This window comes from Homo sapiens, chromosome 17 (genome assembly GCF_000001405.40).
Source record: "Homo sapiens chromosome 17, GRCh38.p14 Primary Assembly".
Lineage (NCBI taxonomy): Eukaryota > Metazoa > Chordata > Mammalia > Primates > Hominidae > Homo > Homo sapiens.
Genome location: NC_000017.11, coordinates 38,002,216 through 38,016,137, shown reverse-complemented (window position 1 = coordinate 38,016,137; position 13,922 = coordinate 38,002,216). Strand labels below are relative to the sequence as shown.

Here is a 13,922-nt window from a genome sequence, read left to right as displayed (position 1 = left end):
TTGGCCTAGGCCTCTATACAGCACAGATCACAGCTCATTCCATCCTGGCATTACACTGGCCTGTGCCCTGTCCTCAGGGTCACATCCGTCTCCCAGAAGCCGTGCAACCCTGGAAAACCCAGGTCTAACAGTCAGGTTCCTCCTCCGTGCATTAACAATGGCGTTGACGCCTGCTTTGCGGCACGCTGGGAGGGGAGAGGGAGGTGTATGCTGGAGAGCTCCCCAGGGGCAAGGCCTGGCTCTGCGTCACCCACTGTCAGATCCTGAGAGCCTGGGGCTGGCCCAGCACGTGGCCACCGTTCCCTAAGAGTTGGATTTCATCCCTCAGTGCTGAAGGCAGGGGATAGAGCTTAGACAGACCCCCTGCGTCCTGTCTTCTTTATCTACAGCTTTCTCATCCTTGCCCCTTTCACGTGCACCCGGCAGAGCAGGTGTTCACTGAGCTTGAGCAAAATTCAAGCTAGAGCAGCTGATGGATCTTGAGGCCTAGATTCACTGTCAAAGTGTTTCTCAAACGGTGCTCTCCAGAACACCAAGGAAAACTCATTGACTGTGTAAGTCTGAAAATCCCTGCCCACCGGTCTACCTTTGTGTATGAGCGATCAGCTCTACCATTCAGCCCAGGTGTGTGTTTGCTGGACCATGTGGAGGAAGCTGAAGAGACGTGAGCTGAAGGCAGAGGGTGAGTCCAAGGTGGGATCTTGGGACAGGTACGAGAAGTTAGGCAAAAATGGGATAATTCTAGCCTTCATAACCTTAGATAATAGTTCACATTATTATTTAGTTAATAGAACTGTACCCACATTAAATTTCTTAAATTTTTTTAAGAGATAAAGTCTCACTCTGTCACCCAGGCTGGAGTGCAGTGGTGCAATCATGGCTCACTGCTTCCTGGAACTCGTGGGCTCCAGCAATCCTCCTGCCTCAGCCTCCTGACTAGGTGGGACTATAGGCACACGCCACCATGCCTGGCTAATTTCTTTGACTTTTCTCTAGAGACCGGGTCCACCTAGGTTTCCCAGGCTGGTCTCAGACTTCTAGACTCAAGTGAACCTGAACCTCCCGCCTCGACCTCTCAAATTGCTGGGATTACAGGTGTGAGCCACCACACCCGGCCTAAATTTCTTATGTGCCATGGGACTGCAAAACATCATTATTAGGGGCAGCTGGATGGAAGGTATAGGAGGATACTATAGTGCCTTTTCAATATTTCTGTCTAAAATCTAAAATCATTTCAACAGGAAACATTTATTTCAAAACATGAAGGTGGTTATCCTTCCATGAGTTTGAAGTACAAAGGCAGGCTCACGGTGTCGTCAGAATTCAGAACGATGGTCGTGGGGCTGGGGGTGCTGGGAGGGGCCGGGCATGGTTGGCTTTGTGATCTGGGGTCTGGTGTGTTCCATCTCTGAATCTCTCTCGAGCTGCACTCTTTCTTAATACATTTTCATAAGTTTAACCAAAAATAAAACGAGGATGCGAAGCTTGCTTGGGTTGTTAAGCCTAGGGAAATTATCCAGCCATGAGCCCTGGCCCAGATGCTTCTAGAAGCCTGGAGGGAACTGAGAACTTTCCAAGTGGAGGCCGCAGAGGCAAGGCCCTGAGGTGGGAGCACACTGCTGTTCGTCCCTAGCTCTGAAGGGGGTGCCCTGGTCGGAATCAGTGCTGGGTGCAGCGAAAGCCGATCTCACCCGCTCCGCAGGGTGTTCAGCCTGCCAGCAGGGGGCCAGCTGGTCCTCCTGGGATATGGCACGGACCCAGCAGCTCTGTCTGAAATCATAATGGCGGAACCAAGGGCCCTCTACGTCCAGGTCCGTTGGGAGGCGGGGCATGGAGTTCCACTGCAGGAATCTCCAGGAACCCTGAGGTCCTCCCTGAGCCAGGGCCGGGCTGGGCACACCCTGAGTGCCCACAGGGTAGGTGTCTTCCCGGACAGCCCCACCAGGACAGGGTGTGGAAGAACGAGGTGCCCGTGGCGGGGAAGCTGACCAAATGGGCCGCGGGAACCGGGCTGGTGGGCCTGGAGGGGCCTGCCTGTCCCCCTTGCAGAGGGTCTTCCCGCCACGTGAAGCCGGCACAGGCCTGGATGCCGACGACCCTTGCTCGGGTTTGGCTGAAAGGAAAACAGACGCGGTCAGCATCTCCAGTGAGCCCACGCAGGCCTTTCCGGGCTGGGCCCCACCTGCCTGCGTCTCTGGAGTCCTCGGGGTCTCTGTGTGGCCCCCGTGGCCTGACACCGAGGACACGCCTGTAGTCTGCTGATCCCAGAGGGAGGGGTGCGTGCTGCCTGGCGTGGGGAAGCTGTCGTGGCATGGCGGGTGGCTCCTGGGACTGCCCCCAGGGTTCAGACTGGCTGGGGGCTTCCTGCCACACACCTTCGTCCCAGGGCTGTTGGGCCTGGGATACGGCCCCCAGTCAGAACTCAGGTGGGAGGGGCCTTGGATGTCACCCAGCCCCTTGTCACCTCACGTGGGGACCCGTCTCCGCAGTGGGTGATTGGGCCCGGACGTGGGTCACCCTCTGCCCTCCTGGGCTGCCCAGTCCATGCCAGGACTGACCGTTCCCACTTCTGGCTGAACTCTTGGCTCTGGCTCTGGGCCCTCTCCCTGAATGCTCTGTGGGTCAGGGACACGGATTCCCTTGTCTCCCTGGCTCCAGGCTTCTTGTCCTGGCAACCTTGGAGGAGCGTGCAGGAGTGAGGGGCCTCTGCTGCTCTCTGAGGCTGTGGGTGCTTGCAGGGAGGGGCGGGGTCTCCCACAAATGGGTCTGGGCTCGTCTAGTAACTTGGAGGGCCCTGCGAGGGGGAGAGGGAGACACCGTGGAAAGTGGGAGGGGGCTTGTTGGAGGGTCTTGCCCACATCCCCCTCCTGCGTGCACAGCATGTCCAGTATACACGCACTGAGCGCCTGCCCTGAGGACCGGTGGGCCTCCTGTACTTTCTTAGAGTCCAGGAGGAAGAGGAGGAAGAAAAGGTGAAGAGGAAGGCCCAGGTAGTAGGGTTGCGGGTCCCGGGCACTCCCCTACTACTGACTACCCCAGAGGGTGACATGGGAGGGGACATGGCACTGGAGCCCACCTGGGGGTGGCAGGTCCCCCTGCTTTCTTGTTAGTTTCTTCATAGAGGCCCTAAGATGCTTGAGCACAGTGTCCTCATCCCTGGCCCAGGTATCAACGAACCGGTTGCAAAAACGTGCCCACGGGCCACACCTGGACGTCTTCGTGAGGCGCTCTAGGGACAGGGTGGATATCAGGCCAGGGGAGTTACCTGGGAATGGTCACAGCTCATACCCCGTGGCCACTTCAGTCTCCTACTGGGCGGTGCCGGATCCTTTTGTGGCCACCCCAGGTGTCCAGATACACACAGGAGACTGTGGCTGGGGGGCGATCCGGACAGGGAAGTGCTCACCACACTCTCGACTTTCATCTGGGTCATGTGGGGGATGGGCTCGGTGTCACAGTGTCCTGCCCAGCCCACCTGGCCAGACCTCCCTCTGGGCCAGAACAGAGGATCATGAGGACAGTGTGAGGAAGCTGCCCTCGGGCCAGTCGGGGTCTGACCCCAGGGCTCCCCAGGCCCCGCTGGGCACACGTAGACTTACTCTGCTGAACCTTAAAGGCGATTCTTGTTATCGGCATCAACGCCTGTTCGCCTTCTACCAGATACACGTCCCACAGGCGCAGGGTGAGCCCGAGAGAGATCTGTGGGGACAGCAGGTGTGAAAGAACCTGGTCCTTCCAGGCTGGGGCTGGTGGCTCGAGCTGCGCACACTGGGGCTTCAGTCTCCAGAGTCAGTGACCTTCCCCATGAGGGTCGCCTGAGCCCTCCAGGACGCTGGGTCAGACAAGGTCTTGAAGCTCCTCATGGGGGGCACTCATTTGAGTGGGGATGTGGCTCCTGGAGAGAGGGGCTTGCCCAGGGCTTGAGGCTTCCCTGAGCCCTCTCAAGTCGGGTCCTGGCCCAGTCTGCCCATGAGGCTGGGCCTGAGCCCCAGCCATGGCCCTGGGATGACCCCCCTTGGGCAGAGGGTTTTGCTTGTGTGTCCTTTGGGGACCCGCCTGAGCCTCCTGTGGGCTGGGAGTGAGCCAGACCCCCGGGCTGGGGAAGCAGGGCACTGCAGGGCAAGGAAGGTCCCTGAGCCAGGGTCTCCCTATGCCTCCTTACCCCGTCAATCAATATCCGGATGAGGCAGCCTAACGGGGAACACTGCCCACATAGATCTTTCTTGTCCTGATGGAAGCAACAGAGGTGCTCAGGCCACTGGGCTGCCCTAAAAACCTCCCTCTTCCAGGGCCTCTGAAGACCCTTCCCCTAGTGCAGAACACTGGGCGGTGTCCAGAGCTCCCCACAACACTGTCACCTTCCCACACTCCCGGTGGACACACTGCCCTTTGCCCTGCTCTGCGGGAGCTGGGCCCCCATCCCTGTGCCTCTGTCTCCTCCAGGGCAGGAAAGGAAACCAACTCCCAGCCCATGGAGAACCCGACGTCCCAGGTCAGGCCCTGGCTGGGACTCAGCCAGTCACCAGCCCCACGAGGGGCTCCAGCCCCCCTGCTCCTACAGCCCCACGGGAGGCAGGGCCTCTGGGAAGAGCTGAGGGGACCATAAACTCACCTGATGCCCCATGGTCTTGGGTTGTGACGTGGCTACCACATGCTCCTGTTGGTCTTGGAGCCCCTGGACGGTCCCGCCATTTGGGCTGTGAAATCCTGAGAAGCCCCCAGCCCATCATGAAATCAGAGCCTTCCCCCAAGATGTGGAGCCATCAGCTGCAAGAGCTGGGCAGCTGGAGAGGCCCCCAAACCCCAAGGCCTCCCACCCTCCCATCTGGTGACCCCAACATGCGGCCTTTACCCTGGGGAGGTGGGGCGGGAACATTCCCTGGAGCCTGGCTGGAGGTTCCCCTGGAGGCCTCCTGGGCCAGGGTGCAAAAAGGGCAAGCCTGACTTTCAGGCCACGACAGGGTGGCCGGAACTGGGTGGGCGCTGGGCTTCCCGGTCATCTCCTGGTAGTGGGGTCGGGCCAGGGAACAGGGGATGGGGAGATGCTGCCACCTGGGCTTGGTCGGCCCATTCGTGGGCACCGATGGCAGCAGGAGCCCGGGCAGCTGGAGGGCAGGAGGACTCTCAGGGAGGGGAGAGTCAGCTGCACAGAATCAGAGCCGGAGGGCGTGGCTCCAGGACACAGAGGGTGGCCACGGGGAGGATGAGATGCCCTCTGCTGATGGGGATGAGAGGCGTCTGATTTGGGCTTTGGGGGTCAGCCGTGGACTCCTGTGGGACCCTCAGCAGAGACATCCTAAAGTCTCCCAACAAGCTGGCGACACAAGGAGGGTGCCTTGGCTGAAAGCTGTGATCACCTGGCCAGGGTGGCCATCCCCAGGTCTGGCTGCAGGAGGTCCCCGGGGCAGCTGTTCACTTACCCTGCAGGGAGTGCCTCTCACTGGCCAGCAGCTGCACCAGTGCCCAGAATGCATCCTCCTCAGGAAGATAGAGGAGGAACAAGGCGGCGATGTGGCTCAGGTCCCTGCAGTAGCCCACCTCCTGCAAGAGCCAGAGTCACCATGGAAGGACATCACCTGGGAGGGCTGAGGTCACCTGGGAGGACTCATGTCATTGGAGAGGGCAGAGGTGACTGGAGAGGCTTCCTCTGAAGGAGAGGCTTCCTCTGAAAAAGAGGCTTCCTCAGGATGCACATTCATTTCATGACAAGAGCCAAGTCCATCAGGCACTTCAGCACCTTGTCCAAAATGTCTGCTGATAGCACCATCCTGTGTGCGATGCTGCCAAGCTCCTGGGCTTTGGGGCAGCCCCAGGAGGAGGGCGTCATTTCTTGTTCTGAGAAGTGGTGGTCAGGCCCAGGTGACACCAGGAGTCCAGGCCCTGACTCCTTTGTGTCTCAGCTTGACCCCTTGAGACCACCCCCTTCCTTGGAGGTTTATGCCAGCGGTGAGCTGACATCCTACCTCCTATATCCTGGTGGGTCACAAATACTAACTGTAAAAGAAGCAACGACACCCCCACCAGACACCCACTCCTGTCAATATGGAAATATGGCCCGGGAACCTCACTGCCGGGAATACTCACCGGGTTATACTCCTCATATGCCAGGAGGATGTGGAGTAGTTCCCGCTGCCTAGGAAACAGAGAAAGGGGGCTTTGGTTTGTTTTGTGCAGATGTTGTTAATTTCACTTTGTCTACAAAGCCTAACAGCAAATCCCATTTCAGGTTCAGATGTTTCACCAGATAAGCAGTGAGCTCTTCAGGGCCTGAGACTCTTGAAGAAATGTTTCAGTAAAATCCACATCTGTGACATGCAAATAGCCCAGTTGTACAGTGACTTGCCTGATCCTTTTCACTCTGAATGATTTTTTTTTTCAGTTTGCACACACGCCAGTTCAGTCTGTGGGTGTACAGTTCCTCCACGGTTCCAAACCGATGTGCAGAGTCTCCCGGCCACCGCTCCAGCCCCTCCTGGGGCGACTCCTTCATCCTCCAAGTCTCCAGGGTGGCCCCTATGCACCCAGCCTCTCCCCGATCCGTCAGCCCCTGGCCACCCAGACTGCTTCTCAGTCCCTGTGGTTTGGCCTTTTCCAGAATGGCCTAGGAATGGGAATCCTACTGTGGTAGCTTATTGGGTCTGGCTTCTGTCCCTCAGCAAAATGCATCTAGGATCCACCCACGTTCGTGCGGGCATCACCGGCTCGTTCCCTTTTCTCACTGGGTCTTCCGTTTGAAGGGAGGACCAGCCTTGCTCTCCCCATCCCCGTGTTGAAGGCCGTCCCCGAAGGCTCCGTGTGTGAGTGACGAGGAGTCAAGCAGTGAACCTGGCATGCTGGTTTCATGTGGATGTCAGTTTGCAAATCAGTGGGTTCAATATCTGTGACACTTTGGGGATGTGTGGTTCAAGTCCATCGAGCTTTGTGAGCCACTGCCCAACGGGCTGCCAACGTGGCTGTGCCATGTCATGTTCCCAGCGGACCTGGATGAGAGTTTCCAGGACCCCTAATTCTCCCAGCATTTGGTGCTGTCACTGTTGCCTGGGGGTGGCTCATGGGCCCTCTATCCTGCCACCCTCCCGTGGGTCCTACCATGGGTCCCCATGGGTCAGGGAGAGCACCCTTCACCATTGTGCATGATTTTGTTTGCTGCCTTCCATCTCCTCAGGATCCTCCTGGGTTCTGGCCCCACATGTTCCAGTCTGGCCCAGGGCTTGGAACCAGGGAGGTGCTCGGTTCATGGTGCCGGCTGCTCCCTGGGCCGGGAGAGCTCTTGGCAGCTGTGTCATCCCTCCTGGGTGACCCTGGCTTCTGCTCCGGGGAAGCCCCCATCCCTCTCATTCACCCCATCTCTGCTGGGACCCTGTGGCTCCCGTAGGCTTACTTGGTTCCGTATCGATCCCTGAAGAATATATGCTTCCTTAATGTCCCGCTTACGTCCCGGTCGATGCGCTGGATGTGCTCAGATGACCTCTTGCCCTTCTCCTTCATGATCTGTAGGGCAGGGCCAAGAGGAGGAAGCAGTCTCAGAACAGATGGAAGACTCCCTGCCCCCAGTGGCAGTCAGCCCACAGTCAGCACTTCGGGAAGGAAGGACAGAAGGAAGGTTTCCTTCTGCAGAAAGCTGCATTTTGGCTTGTTACTGAAGCCAGGGAGGGTCACCAGAGCTGAGTTTGTCTGTGGTGACTGTGTCACCATCTGTGCCCAGGGTGTTCATCTGACCTTCACCCCCAGCTCCCCAGGGTGGTCTTGACGTTCCCTCCAGCTGGAGACCTGGGCCCCGACACGGCCTGTCCTGTTTGTTGTGCTCTGGCTGAGCGTACCTGGTATCTTCCGGGGTTTTTCAACTTCATTTCCTCAGTGTTCAGGAGGACTGACCACATCGGGCCCCGGATGTTCATGGGCATTCCCTTGTACGCTCGATCTATGAGCTGTGGGCAGAAAACGATCTGGTGTCACAGGCCACGGGGTGACCCCAGTGAGGACCAGAGCCCGGGGATTCTGGAAATTGTCGGTTTTGGCCCCATGATTCCTCAGTAGAGGTGAGATCAAGCTGGGACAGGGTCTCCCTTCCCAGGACTGAAAGAGTGGATGGACACTCAGAGTCGAAACTCTGATCTGAACCTTTTCCTTCCTTCAGGTCACCAGGGCATCCCTAGCCTTGAGCTCCGGGTAGTCCCAGCCCTAGATTCAGATTCCCTCCCTGCAAGGTGACGCTTGCACGAATAGGCAGGAAATCTGGCGACCAGGCCTGCAGTCCTCTGGGCGAGGACAGTGTGCCGCCCACCCTCTGAGAGGCTGATGGTGCCAGGCCACAGCCATGGGTGCCTGTCCCCTGTCTCTGCAGAGAGTGCTTCCTCCCTCCACACGTTACCTTTCTGCTGCTTTTGTATTTCTCCCAGTCTCCCAGCATATCCACCCACTTGCTCTTTCGGCTGATCTCCCGCCGAATTTGCTGTCAAATGAGGCATGTTGGAGTTAGCGGAGCTGCCAGGCTTCCCAGAGCCGCCCGCGGATGCTGGGTCTTGGGCTCTGGAGCCCTGGTGGGAGCCAGCTGGAAGGAGCCAGGGAAGGGCAGACCTCAAGGGCTGAGAGCCTTTGAGCAAATGAGCACCAGTGGGCTGGCTTTGGGACCCCGGGATGTACCATCCTCAGGCCACAGACACACCAGTCTTAGGTCCCAGCCTCTAGGTGGGGTCCTGACACAAGCGCGCAGCCACCCCCAAGCCAGGACTGTGGTTCTCCTTTTGGAATTTTATCAAACTGCCAAAGTGAACAGCAACCTGGGGTCAGGTCCAGCAGGGACTGCTGCCCCTCCCAGTGACAGCGTGTTGCCCTCACCCGCCACCGCTCAGGCCAGCTGCTTCCTCTGCCTCACTGACCACCCGCCCAGTCCCTACGTCCCTGGACCAGCCCCTCCACGCATCAGGCTCTTACCTTCGCCTCCCGCGCAGTCAGAGGAGGCAGCTCCGTCTCACTGTAAGGCAACCCAGGCAGAGCTGAGGAACTGCACGGGGCCTGGAGCGGCCCCAGCCTGGGTGCCGACCCCCAGAAAGGACTGGCTCTGTCCCTTTCCAGCTCAGGGCTCAGCCCAGGAGAAGGCACAGGGAAGGGAGGACAAGGGCCTTCCTGTGGGGCTGACTCCCAGGAGGGGCAGGACCTGGGAGAAGAAGGAGTGTAGGGACAGCCTGGCCGGGGTTACTGGGGCCCCTGGCGTGGGGGGCGGTCAGGCTGCCCAATGGGGCTGCCCGTCCTGGACTCGAGGTGGTGCTTTCTGCTGGAGCTGAGAAAGGTTAGCCCTGAGATGGGATGGGGGCCGCCCAGGGTGGGCGACCGGGCCCTGACAGGAGTCCCTCAGGGAGTGACCACATCCCCCCGCCAGGGTCAAGGGAGCCTGCCCTGAGACCTGCCCGGTGTACTCTGGCTGCACCAGGGGCCCACCCCACTTGACAGCCCCAAGGCCCTTGCAGGTTCTGACCTCCCAGCATCCACCTGCCTCTCCCTGCACCCGAGCCACACACCCTGCGTTTCAGAAGTGGCACGGCTCGTCAGCTCCCTCCCGCCCTACCTCCCCAGGGATCCTCTGTCTCTCCATCCTGTGATCCCTGAGGGATGGGCTCCTGGCTGGGCTCCTCTTACCCGGCCCCAGATCCCTTCCCAGCACCAGACCCAGGTCTTTAGCCGCGAGCCCTGCTGCCTCCCTGGCCTCACCGTGAGATGCCCAGAACGGGGCCCTGCCCATCTTCTCCCCCGTTCTCCTAGGGCTACAGCCCCCATTGTCACCATGCCTTTTCCCCTCACGGGACAGTGAGGGCTGTAGCTCTAGGGGAATGGGGGAGAACAGGGGCAGGTGGGCCCTCAGAGACCTGCTGGACAACAGCCCTGAGGCTGGGCCAGGCGTCTCCTCACCCTGTGGCCATAACCCTTGCATCTCACCGGGGTTGTCTCCAAGTAGACAGGGCCAGACCCTCAGGCTGCCCCGCTCCTCTTGTGCTCACTTGCCGACAGAACTGCTGAGCGCCCAGGGGCCTGACCTAGCCCAGTCTCCATTCCCACCGGCTCCCTAGATGGGCCCCACACCTCTGGCCTAACAACCTCGGGCTGGACCTGCAGGGGAGTCAGGGAGGAGTTCTGTCCCTGGAAAGGAGGTTGACCCGACCTGGTGAGACATGTCCTGCGTCAGAAAGGCCTTTCTAAAAGCAAACCCATCCCTGAGCTGAGACAGGTGCTTTAGGGGTGAGGGGAGTGCAGAGGACTCACTGTACAATCCCCAAATGATCGACGTTGTTGTTGTAGCTTCGAAAAGGCTTAGGCCCCTTGTCCTCTGGCAGCCCAGCTCGGTGTCCCTGTAGCCCAGAGGGAGCCTTGGTGAGGGGTCCAAGGTAAAGGGTGCAAGGGCCTGGGGGCATTGGCCACCCGTCCCTGCCCTGTGCTCCTAGGGAGCCCAGGACCCTTTGACCAGGGCACACTGGAAGAGGCCTCCCTCCAAGAAGCAGACCGACTTGTACCTTTTCGTATTTCATAATGATGTCCTCTCGCTCTTGTGCCCACCAACTGCCCGCGACCTCTACCACGTCCATCCTGTGAGACAGAATTGTCTAAAGGTCACACCGTACGCGGCGGCTTCGGAGAACACCTGAACCGCTCTCGCCGGGCTCCCAGATGCTGGCTGGCTGCGTAACCCCCATTCCACCGCCGCCCCCAGGGAAAAAGGGGCCAGACCCAGTGGCCCACAGCTGCTCCAGTCTCTGGAGTCTCAAGTCCCAAGCAGGGGTGGGCATCTTCCCAAGGACTTGAGTACAGTGGGACCTAGACAGAGAATCCTGTTGTCCCCCAATGCCATGAAATGGGGACACACCGGCCCCAGCAGGTTGAATGGTTTCCACCTGCCAAGGGTGAAGGGCCCATGATGGGCTATTCCAGGGATGTGGAGGCAGACTGGGGTCAGCGACCAGAGGTCTCTGTGCAATCGGCCTCCTGGGATGCTCAGGGCCTCAGCGATGCCCAGTTTCCTACAGGGAACAAGATCTCTCCCGACTGCTCGGTTCTACTCCGCTCATCACTTTGGCTACCGTGGCTCTTCAGTCTGAACAGTGAAGCCACTTTAGGAATAACGCCTGTTGAGCAGGAGGGTGTTGGGTTTGGGGGATGAGAAAGATCTATTGTACGCATGGAAACCACGTCTCTCGCGGAGGGACTGTGGAGTCCACCATTCTGAGCCGTCCCAACAGGAGGAGGCTTCATTTTCCTGGGTCACTGAGGAAGAACAGTGGGTCCTTGGTCCTGGAGAACAGCTGGATGGACCGTCCCTCCTGGGAATACTCGAGGCAAAAGGAGGGCGAGGCCTCAAGAGGACCACGCAGAGCAAGAAATACCTGGGGAGAACCCTAGTGCCCGGACCCCTTTGAACACAAGGGAAGATAGTCTCCCCTCAGCCAGCCCTCCAGGGCTCCTTCATTTTCCACAGCTGCCCAAGGGCAGCAGGCTCCCCCGGACAAGGGACCATGTGTGTTCAGTGGGGCCCACAGCGACCATCAGGACCCAGCTTAGGGCACAGAGGTGTTCTGAGGACCGTCAGTGGATCTGTACCAGTGGCTCTATACCAGTGGCTCTGCCAGGACCAGGCTCTGCCCCATCGGGATGGGAAACCTGGGCAGATTTGGGATCTAGGGCAGGGAGGTCACAGGGTTCAGGCCTGAATTCCAGCACAGCACACGGCAGGGCTGAGAGCAAAACTCAGGGTCATGTCCGGATTCCCAGGCCGGTTACTGCCTCTCTGACCCCAGACGTCTCATCTGTCGAATGGGGACATTTGGGAACAGCACCCACTCTACGAAGCCACCATGGAGACGAAAGAGCCAATCGTCTACACGGGCAGTGTAGAACGGGCGCCTGGTGAGTGCTCAGGGATGACCCTCCTCGGTAGCTGCCCCACAGAGGCCAACACCGCCCGCACCGTAGCCACTGCCCCCAAGTCCGCCTGGAGGGAAGAGAGCAGGTCACGCTCACCTGATTCTGATGAATCAGCTGGCCTGGGTCGTGCCTCTCAGGGAGAAAACCTTTGAGTCCACAGAGCTGCTCACAGATACCACTGCCTGTGTGTAACTGCTGTAGACCACTGAGGCAGACCAGAGAGCAGATAGGTGCTAAGCACCAGTGACATTCTGAGGTCATGGCACGAATCACAGTGGGGCCTTGCCCGGGTCAGCAGCGCCCAGAGTCAGGGTCCTCCGCTGCCTGAGGCGTCAACATGCCTGCCTGCAATGTGTTTGTGCACGTGCGTGCACATGTGTATGTGGGTAAACACATCTGTGCACGTGTGTGCTGCTTCTCTGGCCAGGCCCGGCTGCCCCACTCATGTGTGCACCCAGTTCCTCATCACTGTCACCCCCGAGGCCCAGGGCCAGCATCAGAGCATCCATGGCTGCTCCCTAACCTCAGCCCTCCCCGCCCAGGGTGGTCCTGGGATACACATAGCGGTGGAGGGAAGTGACTGCTGCTGTTGGATCTCAGAATACAAAAGCTAGTACTATTACCTAATGGTCTTTTTAGTGTCTCTAATGGTATCGCTTTTTCATTTCTGATATTTTAACTGGGTATTTCTCTCCATGACCCTTGGATATTCTAGCTAGAGGATCCTGTGGGGAAAGTGCCGGGCACACAGTTAGGGGCTCACTCTTCTAGACATGTTATCTAAAACCTGGTTCATCTGTCCTTCCACACAGGGCCTAGGGGATGCCAAATTCCAGGGGCCAGAAAGAGCTTGGGATAAAAAGAAACTTCAAGGGGACGGCTTTGACCTGGGCTGAGTCTGCCTGTGCCATCCAACTGGAGTCTCAAGTCCTGAGGCAGGACGTCCAGATGCCCCAGTGCAGGGTCCTCCTGATCAACACCTGCTCCCCTGTACTCATTAGCAACCTCACCCACCCTACTCTCAAAGCACACTTGGCTCTCGTATCCAGGAGCTCTGCATCTGTAGATTCAGCAACAGCAGATGGAAAATATTCAGAAAATAAATTGGACGGTTATGTTTCTATTGAACATGTGCAGAGTTTGTTCTTGTCATTATTCCCTAAAGAATCCAGTATCACGACCATTTATGTAGCATCTGCATTGTATTACACATCATGAATAATCCAGAGATGGTCTAATGTCTACGGGAGGATGTGCATAGCTGATATGTAAATACTAGGCCATGTTATGTCAGAGACTTGAGGATCCATGGATTTTGGCATCCCCGGGGACCCTAGAACTAATCCATGGATACCAAGGGATGACTGTATAAACTCACTCAGGAAGGCTTCTCATTGGAGGAAGGTCCCAGTTCAGGACACACAGGGACATCTCCCTGGACTACTGTCCATTCATCCATCCATTCATCCATTGTCTCCCCCCACCCCCCCATCTCGGACTGTCCCAGTGACAGCCCTAGCAAGAAGAGACAAGAAACAAGTTCACGTTGTCCAGTTTTGAGGTAATGGAAGAAGTTGCACCAGTATGAGAATAGTGGGTCAGTTTTCTACAGGATGCAGAAAGCATATCGGGCAGCCTCGGGGTGCGGAAAGGAGCCTGGCCTCTCTAGCAGCCACACAGGCCTGCAGTAGGATGGGGCTGTGGCTGGCCATGTGGATCACTTGGGCCTCATGAGGGGAAAGGAAATACCAGGGGGGCAGAAGAGGAGCATGGGGGCAGCTGGTTGCCTAAGGAGAAGGCACCTCAGGGAAGGGGACTGTATTCATTTGTTTTCACACTGATGTAAAGAAATACCTGAGATTGGGTAATTTATAAAGGAAACAGGCTTAATTGACTTGCAGTTCCGGAAACTTACAATCATGGCAGAAGGGGAAGGGGAAGCAGGCACCTTCTTCACAAGATGGCAGGAGGGAGATTGTGCAGTGGCACAATCTCGGCTCACTGCAACCTCT

At 58.1% G+C, this 13,922-nt stretch overlaps 1 protein-coding gene across 8 annotated transcripts, besides 1 other annotated feature; it reads right to left on the bottom strand.

The window, feature by feature from the left end:
• Nucleotides 1-1,229: 1,229 nt before the first annotated feature.
• TBC1D3D (TBC1 domain family member 3D) lies at nt 1,230-13,816 on the bottom strand. 8 transcript variants are annotated; one of them, XM_011524176.3, is made up of 14 exons: nt 12,007-12,162; nt 10,506-10,578; nt 10,258-10,343; nt 8,935-9,157; nt 8,372-8,452; nt 7,821-7,928; nt 7,382-7,491; nt 6,085-6,133; nt 5,421-5,541; nt 4,613-4,707; nt 4,163-4,228; nt 3,600-3,699; nt 3,077-3,229; nt 1,230-2,113 (listed from the first exon to the last, which is right to left on the bottom strand). In XM_011524176.3, the coding sequence occupies exons 2-14, from the start codon at nt 10,575-10,577 to the stop codon at nt 1,545-1,547; spliced, it is 1,833 nt and encodes a 610-aa protein (XP_011522478.1). In that variant the 5' UTR covers nt 10,578; nt 12,007-12,162; the 3' UTR covers nt 1,230-1,544. The 8 variants fall into 8 exon arrangements, with proteins under 8 accessions (XP_011522478.1, NP_001278394.1, XP_047291049.1 ...); NM_001291465.2 differs by having other exon boundaries at nt 8,935-8,974; XM_047435093.1 differs by having other exon boundaries at nt 8,935-8,974; nt 10,506-13,816.
• Nucleotides 3,036-3,537: an enhancer, noted in NCBI's record as "H3K4me1 hESC enhancer chr17:36339535-36340036 (GRCh37/hg19 assembly coordinates)". NCBI's record gives its function as "activates a minimal SCP1, AML or CMV promoter by ChIP-STARR-seq in primed H9 embryonic stem cells {active_cell/tissue: H9 hESC(primed)}" and the evidence as "EXISTENCE:reporter gene assay evidence [ECO:0000049][PMID:30033119]".
• Nucleotides 13,817-13,922: the final 106 nt, after the last annotated feature.